The sequence below is a fragment of the Homo sapiens genome, chromosome 2 (assembly GCF_000001405.40).
Source record: "Homo sapiens chromosome 2, GRCh38.p14 Primary Assembly".
Classification (NCBI taxonomy): Eukaryota; Metazoa; Chordata; class Mammalia; order Primates; family Hominidae; genus Homo; species Homo sapiens.
Genome location: NC_000002.12, coordinates 121,489,359 through 121,510,721, shown reverse-complemented (window position 1 = coordinate 121,510,721; position 21,363 = coordinate 121,489,359). Strand labels below are relative to the sequence as shown.

General features: G+C 38.2%; 1 protein-coding gene across 37 annotated transcripts in view, besides 1 other annotated feature; it reads left to right on the top strand.

The window, feature by feature from the left end:
• CLASP1 (cytoplasmic linker associated protein 1) overlaps positions 1 to 21,363 on the top strand; it is a 311,687-nt gene that overhangs the window by 138,741 nt on the left and 151,583 nt on the right. For 36 of the 37 annotated variants that reach the window (XM_047443792.1, XM_047443782.1, XM_006712383.2 and 33 more), the window contains one exon: positions 7,488 to 7,555. In XM_047443792.1, the coding sequence (XP_047299748.1) occupies positions 7,488 to 7,555 (68 nt within the window). Of the gene's footprint in view, positions 1 to 7,487; positions 7,556 to 20,366; positions 20,450 to 21,363 lie in introns of those variants that run through there. The other variant, XM_017003682.3, reaches the window with a different exon arrangement.
• Positions 21,071 to 21,280: an enhancer, noted in NCBI's record as "active region_16464". NCBI's record gives its function as "activates an Ori minimal core promoter by ATAC-STARR-seq in GM12878 lymphoblastoid cells {active_cell/tissue: GM12878}" and the evidence as "EXISTENCE:reporter gene assay evidence [ECO:0000049][PMID:35858748]".

The following is a 21,363-nucleotide window of genomic DNA, read 5'->3' as shown; positions in this document are numbered from 1 at the left end:
GGCTCAAGTAATCGCTCCATCTCGGCCTCCCAAGTAGCTGGGACTACAGGCGCATGCTACCATGCGCGGGTAATTTCTGTATTTTTTGTACAGGTGGGGTTTTGCCATGTTGCCCAGGCTGGTCTCAGGCTGATTTTTTTTGAATCACTAATTAAATCTCTCTACTTGTTAGGGGTCACTAATTCAATTTCTCTACTTGTTAGGGGTCTATTCAGATTTTCTGTTTCTTTTCAAATCAGTTTTGGTAGCTTGGGTCTCTGTAGGAATTTAGTCATTTTATCTTGGTTATCTAATTGTTGGCATATAATTGTTCATAGAATTCCCCTGTAATCCTTTTTATTTGTACATGCTTAGCAGTAATGCCTTCCCTTTCAAGGTTCTTATTTCATTAATTTGAGCCTTTGCTCTTCTGGTCAGTCTAGTTAAGGTTTGTCAGTTTTTGCCTTTTCAAAGAACTAACTTCTGGTTTCATTGATTTTTCTGTTTTCCCTGTTGTATATATTTTGCTTATTTCACTCTAATCTTTACTTTTGATTGGTTTGATGTACTTGTCTTTTTCCAGTTTTTTAAGATGGAAGGTTATTGATTTGAGATCTTCTGTTTTAATGTAGACATCTACACCTATGAATTTCTAAGTACTGCTTTAGCTGTATTCCATAAGCTTTGATATGTTAATGTTTTCATTTATCTCAAAGTATTTTCTAATTCCTTTTTGTTTTCATTTTTGAGTTATTTGTTACTTAGGAGTGTTTGATTTCTACATTTGTTTGTTTCTTATTTCTTTTTGTTATTAATTTCTGATTTTATCAAATTGTGGTTAGAGAACATAATTTGTATGGTTTCAGTCATTTGAAATCTTTTTTTTAAATTAAAAACATTTTTTTGAGGCAGAGTCTCACTCTTTTGTCCAGGCTGGAGTGCAGTAGTACAGTCTTGGCTCACTGCAACCTCTGCCTCCTGGGTTCAAGCAATTCTTGTGCCTCAGTCTCCCAAGTAGCTGGGATTACAGATGTATACCACCACACCCGGCTAATTTTTGTAATTTTAGTAGAGACGAGGTTTTGCCACATTGGCCAGGATGATCTCAAACTTCTGCCCTCGTGTGTTCCACCTGCCTCAGCGTCCCCAAGTGCTGAGATTACAGGTGTGGTCCACCGTGCCCGGCTTGAAATTTATTGAGGCTTATTTTTGTGGCCTGGCATGTGGACTCCTGGATAATGTTCCATGTACACTTGAAAAGAATCTGTAAGGCAGGCCCAGTGGCTCATGCCTGTAATCCCATCCCTTTGGGAGGCCGAGACGGAAGGATTGCTTGAGCCCAGGAGTGCAAGACCAGCCTGGGCAACATGAGACCCCGTTTCTACAAAAAAATTAAAAAATTAGTTGGGTGTGGTAGCGTGTGCCTGTGGTCCTAGCTACATGAGACGCTGAGGCAGGAGAATCTCTCCAGCTTGGGAGGTTGAGGTTGCAGTGAGCTGGGATCGTGCCACTGCACTTCAGCTTGGGTGACAGAGAGAGACCCTGTCTTAAAAAAGAAGAATCTGTATTCTAATATTGTTTGTTTGAATGTCTTATAGATGTTTGTTCTAGTTGGATTATAGTGTCATTGAAGTCTTATTTTCTGGTTGATCCTCTTTCTGGTTTTTAAAATCCATTAAGGAATGTACATATTGAAGTTTCCAGTTAATACTGTTGAATTATCTATTTCTCTCTTCAGTTGTCACTTTTTGCTTCCTGTATTTTGGGCTCTGTTCTTAGGTGCATATATGTTTATAATTGTTATGATCCCCTGAGCACTGACTCTTTTACTATTGTAAAATGTCTGTCTTTGTGCACAGAGAGAAGTTTTGTCTTAAGGTCTGTGTTACTTGTTATCACTATAACCATTCTAGCTCTCTTTTGTGTACTGTTTGCATGAAATATCTTTTTCCATCCTTTACTTTTCAACCACTTTGTGACTTTGAATCTTAAGTGTCTCTTAGACTGGGTGTGGTGGCATGTACCCCCAGTTCCAGCTACTGGGGAAGCTGAGGCAGGAGGATGACTTAAGCTCTAGTTCAGCCTTGGCAACCTAGTGAAACCCCATCTTTTATAAAAAAAATAAATACAGTGAGTCTCTTGTAGACACTATAAAGTTGAGTCTTATTTGTTTATGCAGTCTGACTTTTTTTAACTTTCCATTGGTTTAATCTATTTATATTTAATGTAGTACTGGCAAGGTAGAATTTATGTCTGCAGGTGTGCTATTTATGTTCTATATGTCATGACTTGTTTCTTTGTTCCTCTGTTACTGCGTTATTTTGTGTTAAATAGATATTTTCTAGTGTACTACTATAACTTGCTGTTTATTTTAGTTTTTTGGGGGGAATTATTCGCAGTTGCTCTGGGGCTTGCAATTAACATCTTAACTTTAAACAGTCTAGTTTAAATTGATACTATTTAATTTCAGTATTAAAAACTTCTACTTAGCTCTGTTTTCTTCTTTTTTTGCTATTGTCATGCAAATTACATCTTTATACATTATAAGCCCACCAGTGCATATAGTTCTATAATTATTGCTTTATGCAGTTTCTTTTTAAGTTATGTAGGACAAGAAAAGAGCTAAGAACAAAAAATACTTTTATACTATATTTTATATTTACCTATGTAGTTATTTTTACTTTTTTTTTTATTTCTTCATGTGGATTTGAGCTGTTGTACAGTGTCCTTTCATTTCAACCCAAAGGACTGTTGTTTTTCATTTATCTGGTAATATCTTAAGTTCTCTTTTGTTTTTGGTGAATAGTTTTGTTACATACAGAATTCTTGGTTGATTGTCTTTTTTAATTTCAGAACTTTGAATATATTATCTATTCCCACCCTGCTCCACTCTGGCTTTCATGGTTTCTCATGAGAAATCAGATATTGACCTTTTTGAGGATCCCTTGTGCACAATGAGTGGGTTCTCCATTGTTGCTTTGAAGATTTTCTCTTTGTCTTCTCTTGTGACAGTTTGGTTATTGTGTCTAGATTTGGATCTCTTTAAGTTTATCCTGTTTGGAGTAGCTTGTTAAATATATAGATTGTTTTATATCAAATTTGTGAAGTTTTTAGCCATTATTCTTCATATATCTTTTTTTGATAATTTTTCAACGTGGTAGATGCCTGAGGCAACGATAACAACTAGGGCAAAGTATCTGACCCAAAAAGTCCTTTGAAAAGTACCGTATCTCCTTTTCTTTTTTCTGTTTTCCTGGGACTTCTGTTATGTGACTATGTTGGTACATTGGTTTTGTAAGATGATCTCTTAGACTCTGTTCATTGTTTTTGTTTGTTTCTGTTACTTAGGTAGGATATGGTATCATTTGACTGATCTTCAAATTTGTTGATTCCTTCTTGTCTCAGCTCAAATCTGTTGAACTCCTCCTGGTGAATTTTTAATTTCAGTTATTGTATTTTTCATCTCCAGAATTTCTGTATGGTTCTTTTAAATATATTCTTTCTGTTTGTTGTTTTTCTCTATTTGGTGAGACATTGTTCTTACACTTTAATTCTTCAGAAATAGTTTTCTTTAGATCTTTCGACATATTTATATTAGTTGACTTGAAGTCTTCATTGAGTTAAGGCAATGTATAGGTGTCCTTAAAAATAGTTTTTGTTGACTGATTTTTATTTCCTTTGTATGGGCCATATTTTCTTGTTTCTTTGTCTCATCATTTGTTGTTGAAACTGGACACTTGAAATAATATATTGTGGCAACTCAGGAAATCATATTCTTTCCCCTCCCCAGATTTTTTGTTGTTGCTTTTTATTGTTTTTGTTGCTTATTTTGTTCTAGTGACTTTCCTGAAAGAATTCCTTAAAGTCTTTGTTCTTTGTTATATGTTGCCACTGAATTCTCTGGTTGGTTAGCTTAGCGGTGAGCTAATGATTGAACAGAGATTTCCTTAAACATGTTGAACCAGTAAGTCTCCCAGCCTCTACTGACTGGCTCTGTGTTTTGGGGGCATGCTTTCAGTGCTCTGAAAGGTGTTTTGCACCTCTGTCTTCCTTTTTACTTCCTGCTTGTTCAGAGTGTCAAAGTCAGCCAGTGGGGACATTAGAGGCTTCAGGGGTCTTTCCTGGGCCTGTGCATGTGCACAGCCTTGCACATATACGTGACCTCCCAGGTTCCCAGGAGTATGTCAGTGTTTTCAAAGTTTGCTGTGGACATCTCAATTTCTACCCCTCCTTCCCCCCACCTTTTTTTTTTCCTATTTTTGGTCAGCTTCTTTGCCCCAGTTGTTATTTCTGTCTTGGGTATCCGCCATGTTGAACAGTTGTCACTGGTTAGTTTTGATCATCGCCTCAGGGAAAAGGCCTCTAACATTGAACAAGCTCTAAGTCAGGTCAGATAAAGACAAGCCCTGCAACTGGGCTTGCAGGGATGTGCCAGATAGGTGGAATGATAGTTCTTTGGGAATGGGGACTTTTAGGGAGCTCCAGACTTGGGAACTTCAGCTCTTTCTAGTGGCTGCCAGGCTGCTGGTTTTCACACTTGCCATGATGATAAGTTGATTTGGACGGTTTTTGCCAATGTTTTCTTTGCTTCTTTGAAGCAGATTTTCAAGGGTCCTTATTCTGCCATTTTAAAGTGCTACTCTCCTGTTTTATGATCACAATATTTTCTCTTATCTCTTTGGAAGCACTAATGACATTTTTAAAAAAACTTTTTCTTTCTCTTTAAAATCTCTTCTGTCCTCCAAGTTTGGATTTTTAAGTATGTGTTTATGTTGATTTCTCTTTTTCATGCTAGAAGCTCTGAGTATATGGATGCAGCTTATTGACTGAGATTGCCGTGATTAAGTATTTGCTTCCAGGAAATTATTTAAAATTTATATATAAAATTTTCTAGGAAGGAACTAATTTGAACTAAATCTTATAGTAAAATAAATTCTAATTGGATTGAAGAGTTTAATATGGAAATTTAAATTCAGAAAAAATAGAGGAAGATGGTGGTTGTCAAACCAGTAAAGAAATTTATTTTAAATGGAAATCCAGAGATTTAAAATAAAACAATTTAGTGGCCTCAGAGGGTAATCATTAGTTATGTATTCAATGTCTTTGAATATATAAAACTCATCCTTTTAGATTTGTGTGAATCAGTAGGTCCCAAGAGAGACATTTTATATTTTTGTGCTCAGAGCTAGCAAACAAAAACCAGTCCTTTCATTCCTAAGGATGCTTTGTTGGTGTTAGACTGTCTCTTTAGGTGGTAACCTTGATAGGAGCTGTTGTAGCAGCATTAATGAGCAGAGAATGAGGGAGCTAGTGAGGCAGGAGAGTAAAAGCGGAGGGAATTCTGAATTAAGGTGGACATACTAGTAATAGTTATGTTTATAGTGTTCTCATACCTAGTTGTTCAGGCTTGCCAGGTCGTGGGTAATGTGACCACAGTGAGAATGCCTCACCACTGAGAAAGAATCTGCAGACTCGTACACAATTACCATTTAGAATGGTGAATACTCTCCCAGGAATGAAAGAAATACTTGCCTTCTTCCAGTAATTTCAGGAACAGCCAGACTAGAGGTATACCTTGGCTCTAACTTGCAGACTTGCAGACATGCTCACATCAGAGGGTGTGGTTGTGACACAATCAAGTAGTGCCTTAGTGAGGGCATGCCCTGGCAACCGGTGTCATGATATTATTTATGAGTTTGTCAAGCCATTGGAGATCTTTGTTACTTTTAAAAAGGGAAGATAATGGAAACATCATAAGAAACACAATCATGTAAGGCATCTTTCCAGTTCTTTAGTAACTGCTGGATTTGAAAGTGAGTTATAGTTTTATTCATATCTGGTCCTGAGGTGGCAATTGGAGTTTTATTCAGTGCCAGCTTTAACGAATGGGTAGTGGCTGCCTGGAATAGTTTTGAGAAGGATTCTGAGGGAACATCTGGGCTTGGTGGAAAGATGGCTTGAAAAGATTGTTGGTGTCTCCTATGGAATGGGGGGAGGCAGTGCATCAGGCTGGTTCATCCCCCTCATTTGCTGATGTGTAATTTTGTCCTCTCTGTTACTTAGAGCATAAGCTCCAGAGGGTAAGAACTCACTAGCTCGGTGTTGGGCACATAATGGGCACTCAAGTATTTTTGAGTGAATGAACAAATGAATGAACTAACACCAGAGCTTGTGTGAATACCTACAGTTTTCCAGAGTGAGGAGTTAGGTTCCAGCTGTCTAACATAGTGATGTAACTCTCCTGAGTGAGTGTCTGCATGGCATACATAGTGTTTGGTACAAATACCAAAAGAATGTAGCTCACATCTCTACCCCTAAGGAGCTTCCATTCGCTTGAGAAGAAAAGGCAAACATATTTGAAATGATGAGAGCTGGCAGGATAGGATGGTGTGTTAAAAAGCACTTAAAATGTCCCTAAAATTGAATGCACAGATACATTGCTTTGGAATCTCAACACTTACTCCAGTATACCTGTGAGAAAGCCTCTTTTTTCTTTCTTTTTTTTTTTTTGAGACGGAGTTTCGCTCTTGTTGCCCAGGCTGGAGTGCAGTGGCACGGTCTCGGCTCATTGCAGCCTCTGTCTCCCGGGTTCAAGCAATTCTCCTGCCTCAGCCTCCCTAGCAGCTGGGATTACAGGCACCCACCACCACACCCAGCTAATTTTTTGTATTTTTAGTAGAGATGGGATTTCACTATGTTGGCCAGGCTGGTCTCAAACTCCTGACCTCAGGCGATCCACCTGCTTCAGCCTCCCAAAGTGCTGGGATTACAGTAATGAGCCACCATGCCCGGCTCAAGAAAGCCTCTTTTTTCTTAACTTTTTCTACTAATTATGATTGCATTCTCCCACCTTTTCCTTTCATTTTTGGTGTCACTAGGATGGAATATTTAGACTGGTTAAGGAATTTTGCTTTAATTTAAATGCCAAGGTGAAATGATCCATTAATAGAAAATAAATGTAATACAGATTTTTTTTTAAGCTGAAGATTATCCAGTCACAGCATTTGTTTCTAGAGAAATCATTTATAGCATTTTTGGATTAAGCATGAATCACAGCAATAAGCACAAGCCTTTGTAACGTACTATTAGTGCATTTTGAAAAGCTCCATCCCAAGTTATTGATAGTCTGCGCTAAGAAAGAAAGAGGAGAAACACACACTTCTCATAAGATACACATTTTGTGTAGAGTAGTCAGTAATGTCAGAGAGCAGGGGCTCTGGATTACTACTCTCAGGGCTAGAATCTCCACCCCACACCTGTGTCACCTCAAGGAGATTAAATGAGATCTTTCAGATAGACTTCTAGGCCCATTCTTTACCCATAGTAAGTGCTCAGTTATTGTTGGCTATTGTTAATGTTATTGATTGAGTCACTGTTTTGTTACTAGGTGGGTCTGTACCATTGTTTTTTTTGATGGGGAGTGGGGATCAACTTCACATTAGCATTTTAATATAATTGGCTATGAGCAGTGATGGTTAATAGTTTGTTTACATTTTTCTTTCATACAGGTTGAATGTAATTTTTACAAAATTTGATGAAGTCCAGAAATCTGGAAACATGATACAATCTGCAAATGGTGAGTAGAAAAAGCAATCCCTACTTTTGCTTTTTCAGTTTTACATTCGCATCATTTATGTTATATGTGAAGAGCTGAATTAGGTAATTTAGTAAGAGTTTCTAAGTCTTAAAACTTAACCTCCATTCACCCAGTTTTCCAGGCCAGAAACAATGCAGTGAATCATCACTGACTTTCTTTCATAACCTGTATTGAATTTATTAGCGAATCCTGTTGGCTTTACTTTTAAAACTGCGTCCTGAATCCCAGGAACTCTCATCATCACTGCTGCTGTCTTCCTAGCACAAGCTGTCATGGTATTTTACCTGGGCTCTTGTGTTTCCCTCCTAAACAGTATCTTTTCTTCTACTGTTTCCCCATGCCTAAAGTCTGTTTTTCATATAGCAACCAGAGTAATCCTTTCAGAATACAAGTCGGGTGGTGTTAATCTTCTTCCTAATCCTCCAAAGACTTCCCATCACACCCAGGCTACAATTCACCAACTCACCATGGCCCACTGGGCCTTGCGTGATCTGGCACCCACCGCCATTCTGATGTCATTTGAATCGTTCTTTGTGAAATTTCTCTTTGCTCTAGCCACGTTTGACCTCCTTGCTAATTTTGAACATTCTGAGCATCTCCTGCTTCAGGACCTCTGTGCTTGTAATTCCTTCTGCCTGAAGTATTTGCCCTGTGGGTATCATTATGGCCTCATCCCTCCTCCCTCATACAGTATCTCACTTCATACAGTATCACTGCATTACTGAGGCCACCAGAATAGCATGTCCAGGGTTCTGAGGGAACGCTCTGTGCCCTCACCCTGTTTGAGTTTTCTTTGCATGTATCACTAGAAAAATATGTGTTTACTCATGAGAGCAGGACCTTTACTTTATTCCCTTTATTGTTCTTTATTTTTTTTCTCAATGAGCATAAATTCAACGCCTTGAAGAGTCCCTGGCTTGTGATAGGTGTGCAGTAAGTATTGTTGAATAAATAAAGTAATGATTTTGATGTCAATTGTAGTCTATTGTTGCCAGTTCCTGTATTCCTTTCACTATACTTTGTGATGATATTTGAGAACTAGTGGGTAATTCTTGTGATTCCAGAAGGAGAGGAAAAGACAGGAGTGAATTACTCCTGTATGAAGGAAAAAATATCAAAAAGTTAATTGCTGAGAAAAACTTTTTCTAACTCTGGATACCTCATTGTATCATAGCTAAGCTATTTTAGAATTTTTAGGTATCTTAGATTACAACCAGTACTGAATTCATTAATCCTGTTGGATTAACTTTTAAAACTGCACCCCGAATCCCAGTAATTCTCCTCATCATTACTACTGTCTTCCTAGTACAAGCCTTCACATTTTGAATATCTTGAGATTGTAAAGAGAAGTCTGAGCGCTTTTCCTCAAAGTAACTTGATACATAAGGGCAGAGCAGGTAATAGCATGCAAGTCTTTTGACTCACACTCTGCTGTGTACCTATTATTATTCCAAAGGAATTTTTCTTTGAACAGCATGTTTCCTATATAAAATACCTAAAGTGATCTAAAAATGCTTTCATTAATCCTCCTTATTTCTTTTTCATAGATTGTAAGAAATAATAGAAAATTGATATCATAATTCAGCTATTACCATCAAAAATCATTTTCGCTATATTTTCTTAGTTCATTTTCCTGTAACTGTATAATTTGTATATAATTTTAACTATGGTGTAATTTTCTCTCCTTTACCCTGTACTTTAGCTTACATACTTTCAGCTTTTAAAAACATATCATTGGTAGAGCTGGGGCCAGAATTCTGGCATCTGAGTGGTGCACTCGTGATGAGTGGGGTTGCTGGGTGTCCACAGGCAGGTCTTCACAGGCAGTTAGTTGCTGGACATGTGGCTTTTACTTTTGTGTGGGTGTATTTGTGTCATTTGTGTGGTTTCTCAGTTTAAAAATTGTTGGCACTAGGACAGAACATGCTGTGCAAGTAAGTAAAAGCAGTGGCAGGAAATTGAGTTTGTGCTTCATAAGCCAGTATGACAGCTATGAAACAGAATCTCATTATAGTGCTGGCATTGGGGAGAAAGACTGCATCCACACTGGAGATCTTGCCTAAAAGAGTGTGTACATATACCCTATGGGATCCAGTGATGTGACAAATAGGATTTCACCCTCAGGAATGCCAAAACTGTGTGGCATTGGATATATCACAAGCAGCATTTTATTCTAAGTGGCTAGGTATAAATATTGCCCCCAAATTCCCTTTATGTGTGTGTGCACGTGCACACACATAGGTTTAGGGTTGAGGATGGAAACAGTTCTTTTAAACATCTATGCTAAAAATAGCAAATGGTAAGGAAGCCTTAACAAAATTTCTTGGAGGCCGATAATTTCAGCTTTTTGCTTTGTATGTGTAGTATTACTGTTTTAATTGTTAGAGCCAAAATGTTGAAGGAAACTGAGTACTATATAGCCATATGTATAAAATTTTAGAATTTCTAACCTAAATGATTTTCATCTCTTTACAGTAAATTTGAGAGACCAGTAAAATGTTCAATTGCTGTCAAAAAACAAACCACCTGATTTCCTTCATTGAACATTTAGATGGCATAGAGAAACTGCAGTAGTGATGGAATAAAACCTGTCTCCCTCTTTATCTAATTTTCTCTTTCTTTTCTTTTCTTTCTTTCACCTTTTCTCCTCCTCCTCTTTTTCTCTTTTCTTCTTCCTTCCTTCCCTCCTTCCCTCCTTCCTTCCCTCTTTTCTTTTCTCTTTTCTTTTTTTTCTTTCTTTCTTTCTTTTCTTTCTTTCTTTCTTTCTTTCTTTCTTTCTTTCTTTCTTTCTTTCTTTCTTTTTCTTTCTTTCCTTCTTTCTCTTCCTCTCTCTCTTTCTGTCTCTCCCTCTTTCTCTCTCTCCCCCACCTCCTCCTCCTTCGTGTTTTTTTAAAACACAACTCCCAGTGTAATTCTTTGATCTCTTTTGAACTTCAAACCTTTGACTGTTCAGTTTTCTCTAGATCCATTCATCCTCTGCTTTCTCCATTTCATACCTTATACAGCTTAGATTACAACCTTTCTGAACTTATTAGTTGTAGGAGTTTTTGTAGCCTCTGTGGGGTTTTCTACATATACAGTCTTGTCATCTGCAAATAGGAACAGTTTTATCTCTTTCAGATACGTATGCTTTTAATTTCTTTTTCTTGCCTTATTGCACTGGCTAGAACTTCCAGTACTGTGTAAGATAAGAGTGGTGAGACAGGACATCCTCGTCTGGTTCCTATCCTAGGTGCTAAGTATGGTATTAGCCGTAGGATTTTTGTAGATGTTCTTTATCAAAATGAGGTAGTTTTCTATTTACTTCTGTTTATCTTATCTTTTTTTTTTTTCCCAGAGCAGGAATAGAAGTTTATTTAAAAAGGCCTTAGAATAGAAAAGAAAGGAAGGTGTGCTTGGGAGAGACCCAGGTGGGCACATGAAGGTTAAAGAAAGAAAGTCAAATGCCCTTATCTGAGTTTTTATCAGAAATAGGTGTTAGGCCTTTTGTGAAGTTATCAGTATATTTTAAAAATTGAGATACATTCTCCTTCTAGTTGCCGTTCATTTAAAAATTAAAAATTGAGATTATATATAATTTACCTACTGGTGTTTCACTTTTTAAAGTGAATGCTTTAGTGTTTTTTTTTTTTTGAATATTCACAAAGTGTGCAACTATTACCACTATTTAAATCTAAAATACTTCATCACCCTCACGTCCCATTCCCATTAGCACTTACTCCCTATTCCCCTCTCCCCCCAGTTTCTGGCGTCCTATTTTCTGTCTTTATGGATTTGCCTATTCAGGACATTTTGTATAATTGGAATCATACAATATTTGGCTTTTGTGTCTGGTGTCTTTCACTTAGCATAATGTTTTCAAGGTTCATCCATAATGTAGCATGTATCAGAAGTTCATTTCTTTTTATGGCTGAACAAGATTCCATTGTGTGATTAGATTGCATTTTCTTTATCCGTCTGTTGATGGACGTTTGGGGTTGTTCCACTTTTTGGCCATTGTGAAGAATGATTCTTTGAACATTGATGTAAAAGATTTCATGTGGATATGTATTTTCATTTCTGTTGGCTGTATACCTTGCAGTAGAATTGCTGGGTTGTACCTTTAACTTTCTGAGTAACTGCTCAAACACAGTAAACACACAGTTTTCCAGTTTTGCAGCACTATTTTATGTTCTTACCAGCAACCTGTAAGAGTTTCCACTTTCTCCACATCCTCGCCAACAATTGTCATTGTCTATCTTTTTCATTATAGTCACCATAGTGGCTGTAAAGTGGTATCTCATTGTGGTATTGATTTGCTTTACCTTGATGAGTAATGGTATTGAACATCTTTTTCATGTGCTTATTAGCCCTTTAAATACCTTGCTTGGAGAAATGTCTATTCAAATAAATCTTTTGCCCATTTTCTAAAGGAGTTAATTGCCTATTTATTGTTGAGTTTTAAGAGGTCTTTAGATGTGCTACATACCAGACTCTTACCAGATGTGATTTATTTGCAAATATTTTCTCCCATTCTATGGGTTTTCTTTTCACTTTCTTGATAGTGTCACTTGAGATATAAATTGTTAAATTTTGATGAAGTCCAATTTATCTGTTTATTTTTTCTTTTGTCATACCTAAGAAACTATTGCCTATATTTGGCCAGGTGCAGTGGCTCACACCTGTAATCTCAGCACTTTGCGAGACCGAGACAGGCAGATTATCTGAGGTTAGGAGTTTGAGGCCAGCCTGGCCAATATGGTGAAACTCCATCTCTACAAAAATACAAAAATTAGCCAGGTGTGGTGGGGCACCCCTGTAGTCCCAGCTGGGGGGGTGGTGGGGTGGCCCTGAGGTGGGAGGATCGCTTGAACTTGGGAGGCGGAGGTTTCAGTGAGCTGAGATTGTACCACTGCGCTCCAGCCTGGTCGTGAGACTCCGTCTCAGAAAAAAAAAAAAAAAAAAGAAACTATTACCTATTTTACCACAGTAAAAAGAAAGAAAAGAGGCCAGGCATGGTGGTTCATGCCTGTAATCCTAGCACTTTGGGAGGCCGAGGCAGGCAGATTGCCTGAGCTCAGGAGTTCCAGACCAGCCTGGGCAACACGGTGAAACCCCGTCTCTGCTAAAATACAAAAAATTAGCTGGGCGTGGCGGTGTGCGCCTGTAATCCCAGCACTTTGGGAGGCCAAGGCGGGCGGATCACGAGGTCAGGAGATTGAGACCATCCTGGCTAACATGGTGAAGCCCCATCTCTACTAAAAATACAAAAAATTAGCTGGGCCCGGGCGTGGTGGTGGGCGCCTGTAGTCCTAGCTATTCGGGAGGCTGGGGCAGGAGAATCGCTTGAACCTGGGAGGTGGAGGTTGCCTTGAGCAGACATTGTGTCACTGCACTCCAGCCTGGGTGACAGAGCAAGACTCCATCTAAAAAAAGAAAGAAAGAAAGAAAGAAAAGCTGGGTCTGACCTCCTCCTAGTTTCTTCCTGCTTTTTGGGCTGCACCTTCTTGGCTTCCTTTATCTAATGTCTACTAATTAGCCATTAAATTCTTAAAGCTTAATTCTAGGCCTTTTCCTTTCTCAGGCAGTGCTTTTTCCCTGGTTACACATATCCGTGGCTATAATTTTATTTATTAGCTATATCACATTTTTTTCATAAATGTTTGTCTCCTATACAGATCTTGGTACAGGATTGGAACTGTATGTGAAACAGCTACCTGTCTGACATTTCCTCTTGTATTTGAAACATGTATCTAAAACCAAATTTATATTCTACTTCTGGCTGAAAGACAAAACACAAAACAATAAATATTGCTCCACCCTAAGTGTTTTCTGTACTCCTTATAAGCGTGATTGCTCCATTATTCATCCTGGTATGTAAATTAAAGATTGGGTGTCATTTTTGATACCTCCCTCTCCCTCACTTTTCATAAATATTATCACTGATTCATATGGAGTTTAACTCAAATATTGCTTTTTTATTGAGGTAAAATCTACATATATAATTAACGATCTTTACCAATTTTAAGTGTACAGTTCAGTGGTAATAAATACACTTATATACATTTTTTTCACTTTACTCTTCCCCCTCCCCTTCCTGGCCTTTGGTAACTACCAGTCTAATCTCTACCTTTGTGAGATCTACCCTTTTAGCTCCCACATATGAGTGAGAATGTGTGATGTTTGTCTTTCTGTGCTTGGCTTATTTTATATAATATGATGGCCTCTAGTTCCATCCATGTTGCTACAAATAACAGGATTTCATTCTTTTTTATGGCTGAATTATATACCATTGTGTATATATACACATTTTTCTTATTCCATTCATCTGTTGGCATCCCAAATGATGTCAGATCCCTCTGTTAAGTGTGGGCAGGCACCCTCTACCCCACTGCTTGGTATGCGTCATGTTTGCAGGTTTACATTTGGCGATTATCTGACTAATACCTATCTCGGCATTGGACTGTAACCCTCCTGCATACAGGGGACTGTGTGCCTGTTTTTGCTCATTCTAAGGCTCAGATACCTTGCAGGCTGGCCTCTTAGTCCCAGTGTTCTCTGCGATTGGTTTGTTTCACCGAACCAGCTTTTCTTCTATGTCTCTCAGTAAATCTTGAGTGCATGTACGAACACTTAGTATCTGAGATGACTAGATTCTTTTTCTCTCTGCTTTTTCCCATGGATTCTTATATACCCACTGGGTTCTGGAGTGTTGCATATGAGCTGGAGCTGACAGAGAACTGAGCAAAACACAGGAGAGAATGAATGACAACATGGGGCTCATTTCCAGGCTCCTCAATGACCTCTTGGGCAGAGGTTCTGATCACTTGATGGCTGCCTTGGTTGGTTAGCACTGCATGTCCACAGAGCGGCTTCCTAGGCTGACTCAAAAGGGTGTCTATTAAATGATCTGTGTCTTTCTAACTCCCATTTGTGAAAATTTAGCAGCCTATACTCAGCTAAGGACTAGGCAACAAATATCTGTTTAATAAATGGTGACTGTGTATGCCAAACAGTAGTTACAGTTGTTAATTTTGGAGTGTGGGTGCCCACATGCCCCTGTGTGGGGAAGTGTGGACAGTGTCAGGGAGCAAGTCAAGGGGGATTGCTTTGGAAATGTGTGGCTCTCCTTCCTCCTTAGGAAAGGCGTCTGTGCCCTGCTCTGCAATGCTTTAGCTATGGGATTTTGGGCAAGTGACTTAACTCTTGTGAACCACATTTGCTCATCTGTAAAATGGAGTGAACACCTTGCAGGGATTTTGTGGAGAATAAATGAGATTGTGTGTAAAATTCTTAGCGAATTTCTTAGTGCCTGGGACATGGTTGGTGCTCAGAATAATAGATTCTCCTCCAGTTGCTCAATTTTAGGGGTATATTCATTTTTTCAATAAAAAGAATATTTGAGAATAACTGTCATACTTGTAGATTTTCAGATTATTTTGGAGTATGCATTTAAAATTTAATGTATTATTTATTTACTTTTTAAATTTTTTATTCGTTTTTTTGAGATGGAGTTTTGCTCTTGTTGCCCAGGCTGGAGTGCAATGGCATGATCTCGGCTCACCGCAACCTCCGCCTCCCTGGTTCGAGCGCTTCTCCTGCCTCAGCCTCCCAAGTAGCTGGGATTACAGGCGCTCACCACCATGCCCAGCGAATTTTTGTATTTTTAGTAGAGACGGGGTTTCACCATGTTGGTCAGGCTGGTCTCGAAATCTTGACTTCAGGCAATCTGCCCGCCTCAGCCTCCCAAAGCGCTGGTATTACAGGCGTGAGCCACCGCGCCCAGCCATTGTATTCTTTAAAGTGACAATACTCTTTAAATATTTTTATTTATTTATGTTTTAGAGACGGAGTCCAGCTCTGTCGCCCAGGCTGGAGGGCAGTGGTGCCATCTCGGCTCACTGCAATCTCTGCCTCCTGGGTTCATGCCATTCAGCTGCCTCAGCCTCCTGAGTAGCTGAGAGTACAGGCACCTGCCACCACGCCCAGCTAATTTGTTTGTATTTTTAGTAGAGATGGAGTTTCACTGTGTTAGCCAGGATGGTCTCTATCTCCTGACCTTGTGATCCGCCCGCCTCGGCCTCCCAAAGTGTTGGGATTACAGACGTGAGCCTCCGTGCCCGGCCTATTTATTTATTTATTTTTTAGATGGAGTCTTGCTCTGTCACCCAGGCTGGAGTGCAGTGGTGCGATCTTGGCTCGCTGTTACCTCCGCCTCCCAGGTTCAAGTGATTCTTCTGCCTCAGTCTCCCGAGTAGCTGAGACTACAGGCGCCCACCACCATGCCTTGGTAATTTTTTGTATTTTTAGTAGAGACGAGGTTTCACCATATTAGCCAGGATGGTCTCAATCTCCTGACCTCAGGTGATTCGCTCACCTCGGCCTCCCAAAGTGCTGGGATTACAGGCATGAGCCAACGTGGTTGGCCCAATATTTTTAATTTTTATGGACATATCAGTTGTATATATTTATGGGTGACATAGGTATTTTGCATAACAGTCACATCAAGGTAAGTAGGGTATCCATCAACTCAAGCATTTATCATTTCTTGTGTTGCAAACATTCCAGTTATACTCTTTCAGTTATTTTTAAATGTACAATAAATATTGACTGTAGTTATCCTGTTGTGCTATCAAATACTAGATCTTATTCTGTCTAACTATATTTTTGTACCCTTTAACCATCCCCACTCCCTTCCCCACCACCACTATTCTTCCCAGGCTCTGCTGGTAACTGGTATTCTACTCCCTATCTCCATAAGTTCAGTTGTTTTAATTTTTAGCTCCCACAAATGAGTGAGAACATATGAAGTTTGTCTTTCTATGCCTAGCTTCTCTTAACATAATTTCCTCCAGTTCCATCCATGTTGTTGCAAATGACAGGATCTCATTCTTTTTATGGCTGAATAGTACTGCATTGTGTATAGGCATCGCATTTTCTTTATTCCTTCTCCTGTTGATGGACACTTAGGTTGCTTTAAAATCTTGGCTATTGTGAACAGTGCTGCAGTAAACATGGCAGTGCAGGTATCTCTTCAATATACTGATTTCCTTTCTTTTGGGTACATACCTAGCAGTGGGATTGCTGGATCGTATGGTAGTTCTAGTTTTAGTGTTTTGAGGAACCTCTCTATTGTTTTCTGTAGTGGCTGTACTAATTTAACATTTCTACCAACAGTGTACAAGAGTTCCCTTTTCTCCACATCCTTGCCAGAATTTGTTACTGCCTGTCTTTTGGATTAAAGCCATTTCAACTGGGGTGAGATGATACCTCATTGTAGTTTTGATTTGCATTTCTCTGATAATCAATGATGTTGAGCACTTTTTTAATATGCCTGTTTGCCATTTGTGTGTCTTCTTTCGAAAAATGTCTATTCAGATCTTTTGCTTACTTTTAAATTGAATTATTTGATTTTTTTTTTCTATTGAGTTGTTTGAGCTCCTCATATATTCTGGTTATTAATCCCTTGTCAGATGGGTAGTTTGCAAATATTTTCTTGCATTTTGTGGGTTGTCTTACACTTTGTTGATTGTTTGCTTTGGTTGCCCATACTTGTGGGGTGTTACTGAAAAAATCTTTGCCCAGACCAATGTCCTGGAGAGTTTCCCCCATGTTTTCTTTTAGTAGTTTTATAGTTTGAGGTCTTAGGTTTAACTCTTTAATTCATTTTGATTTGATTTTTGTGGTGAGAGATATGGGGGTCCAGTTTTATTCTTCTGCATATGGATATTCAGTTTTTCCAGCACCATTTATTGAAGAGACTGTCCTTTCCCCAGTGTGTGTTCTTTTCGGCACTGTTGTCAAAAATGAGTTCACTGTAGATGTGTGGATTTATTTCTGGGATCTCTATTCTGTTCCATTGGTCTGTGTGTCTGTTTTTTTTCCAGTACCATGCTGCCACAAAAACAGCAATGGTAGTAGTATAATTTGAAGTCAGATAATGTGATTCTTCTAGTTTTGTTCTTTTTGCTTAGGATGACTTTGGCTATTCTGAGTCTTTTGTGGTTCCGTATAAATTTTGGGATTACTTTTTTATTTCTGTAAAGAATGTCATTGGCATTTGATAGGGATTATGTTGGATCTATAGATTGCTTTGAGTAGTATGGACAGTAATGCTCTTTTAAAATTGCTTTGTTAAAATATAATTTACATACCATGACAGCATTCATTTCAAGTGTATAATTCAGTTATTTTTAGTATAGTCACAGATAGCTGCAACTGTGCATCTATTGATGGACAGTTGGATTGTTTCTACCTTTGTCTATTGTGAATAGTGCTGCTTTGAACATTTGTATACAAGCTTTTAAACACCTGTTTTCAGTTCTTTTGAGTGTATATCCAGGAGTAGAATTGCTGTATTACATGGTCATTCTATGTTTAACTTACTGAGGAACCACTAAACTGTTTTCCACAGTGGCTGCACCATTTTATATTCTCTCTAGCCTTTACCAAATTCTCCACTTTCTGGCAATGCTTGTTTTTTTTTTTTTTTATTTTTTTTAATTGTAGTCACCCTAGTAATTATGAAGTAGTGTCTCATTGTGGTTTTGATTTGCATTTCCCTAATGACTAATATGTTTGAACATATTTCCTGTGCTTACTGGCCATTTGTTGATCTACGTTGGAAAAACATCTAATCAAATCCTTTGTCCACTTAAAAATCGAATTGTTTATCTTTTTGTTGTTGAACTGTATATGATTTGCAGATACGATTTGTAAATTTTTTTTTCATTCTGTGGCTTATCTTTTCACTTTTTTTTTTTTTTTTTTTTTTTTTGGAGAGGGAGTCTCGCTCTGTCGCCCAGGCTGGAGTACACTGGTGCGACCTCGGCTCACTGCAAGCTCCGCCTCCCGGGTTCTCACCATTCTACTGCCTCAGCCTCCCGGGTAGCTGGGACTACAGGTGCCCGCCACCACGCCCGGCTAATTTTTTGTATTTTTAGTAGAGATGGGATTTCACCGTATTATCCAGGATGGTTTCGATCTCCTGACCTCGTGATCTACCCGCCTCGGCCTCCCAAAGTGCTGGGATTACAGGCGTGAGCCAATCTTTTCACTTTTAAGTGTCTTTTGGTGTATAAAGGTTTTAAATTTTGCTGAAGTCCAATTTATTTTTTTCTTTTGTTGCTTGTGAACAACAGTGCACTTTTGAGTAAGAAACGTTCTGGATTTTAGCTAAGTTGGAAGAAACGTATTTAATGGTGGTACTCCTAAGAAATAATAAGGATTTATCAAGGGTTTGTATATCTTCAGATGTTCAAAATTATGTTGTTCTCTGATGCTTAATATTTATATGAAACCCATGGACTTAATTTTTAAAAGCGTAATCGAATTGTGACTAAAACAGGAATGAAAAAGCAGCCAAGTAGCAATTTGAAATGGGCTTCCTGTCTGTAATAGAATACTTCATCTTTGTATGATTCCTTCTTGTTGCTAGGTTACCCGAAGGCCTTTCGGCTTTGAATGGTGAGAATATGAGAGTTAAAAATATGTTGCTATATAGATGTTTCTTCTTTTTTTCATCTCCATATAATTAGCAAGCCCCTTGAAGCAAAAATTACAGTTTTTCCTTCCATGAGTTTCAAAAAGCAAATTATTTGTAAGTTTTTAAATCATGCAGATGTGCTTATGCTCATGGGAGAATTGGATTTTCAGAATGAAAGACCCAGTAATTATGGACTACTCAGTGTCCTTTATCTGCAACCACTTAATGATCTTTAATTGGATTTGATTGAAGCGAGGCCCATGAACATTAATTTGGTTAAAAAATACACATGCTTTTGAGTTTCTTGAGCAAAGCTAACATGTTTATGAGGAAAGATACAAACTATCATCTTGGTTAAATCCATGATAATTCTATAATAAATTTGTAGCTGAAGTAAAAGACCCAATATTTATTTGCTAATAAAACTATAAAGTAGATAACAAGTAATCATAACATTATTGGCTCTTATACATGAATGTACAGGGTATCATTTTGTTGCCAAATGCATTTTGCTTTATGGTTTTACACTTAAACAACTATAACTTGAAAAATATTACAGGTATCAGTTCTACTTTGTCGGAAATGAGAAATACCTGTGCAAGTCTGAAAACAGACCATTGACAGATTCTGTTAGATAAGATCTGAATTATTGCCCAGTGTGGCTAGGACAAAGCATTCATTTAAAGGCAAATCAGTTGTCTTTTCTTTATTAAGAAGCCAAGTCATTATTATCCATGCTTATCCTTTAAAAGCAATGATTGTGAATAAGTGGATCAGGTGCCAATTCTAGGTTCACACTCTCTCCCAGTGCTTGTTTATTAGACTATGCATATTACAAGGTTTGGGATAGTGGTTCAGTATCTTAGGAAAGTGTTTCCATAGTCACGAATACAAGGATAATGTGTTTGTTACAAGGCTGGCATATGTGTTGAGCTGTGCTAAGAAGCCCACCTAAAATAGCCTGGAAGAGACTGCTTCTGATGGCAGCATAAGTCGCATAAGCTGCAGCAGACAGCTTATTTTATTTTCTGTGTGGAAATAAGGTTGCTTTTTGATATTTTTCTTTTTAAGATTTGTGTTAGGAATATTCTTTTTCTTGAGGGGGAAGAACTGGTTTAAAAATTTTTAATACCACTTTTAAAGAAGACTCTCTTAAATGAGTAGAGTTGGATGGAGAAGGCTCACACCTCCCCCCAGCCACCAACCCCCAACCCTTTTTACAAAATCATTGTTAGTCTAGGCTTTTATTTTGGAATAGGGTGGCAGTTGTCATTGGTGCTGCCGGATCACACTGAACAAGTGTGGGTGGAGAGTTTGCTGATGCTTAAGTTGCTGTGAGTAGGTATAGCTTTCAGAGCAGTGTTTTTATTTGGTACCAGGATTACTGACAATCATGACTACTGGGAAAGGTAGGCTATTCTAATATATTCTGAAAAGTGTTTATAATTATTGCTGCTTGGCTAGGAAATGCTTAAATATTTTATAATTCCTGTGGTAACTAAAAATCATGGATGAAACATGGGAAAGATTGTTATGAATGTTGTTGGTATTTAAGCAGTGAAAAATTGTGAAACCTACAGGGAAATAAACATCAATGTTAACCTTCTAAGACTAGGAGAGAGGAAGTAGGCACAGTAGGCTGAGGCTAGCTGTGTTTTTATCTTCTGTTTATTTCATGGGCTTTTAATTTTTCTCTGCTTATGTTCACAGTATGAGGGTTATGAACATAAATCTATTTGCAATTGCAAGGTATTTGTTAATAACGCTAAGTGGTCTTGAAAATAATCTACTGGCTAGAAATTTCTAAGTTTTCCCAGTAGGTATAGAGGAAAAGCATAAATGATAGCAGTGCAAGGATGCTGCTTCTGTCTTAAGTCATTGTTTATTTTTTTCCCCTTTAAAAGATTTGCATTTTTAAAATGCAAAAATGTACAGGAAAACTACAAAAGAAGTATTGCTCACAAAAAATCTTCTTGATTAGGTTTCAGTCTTTCCACAGAGCTTTTTCTCAGGTTTGGCCAATATCGAAGTGATTTTAAAAGATTCTGTGTAAACAGGGTTTGCATTTAAAGGTATAGGGTACAGTTGATGTGATGGGAACAACCTGTATCACTGTCTTGCTTTCCTAGTGGTTTTGCTGGCAGACTCTTAATTTGTTGTCTTCAAAGGGTATTTCCAGACTCTTCTACTGAAACAGGTATTGCACAGAGTAAAATTGCATACAGTAACAAGTGTTTATTTGTCTCCTGCTGTGGGGAATTGGGCACACATCCAGGACTTCTGCTCAGTGTTTATTTTGTAATGGATTATTAAAGGTTTGTAT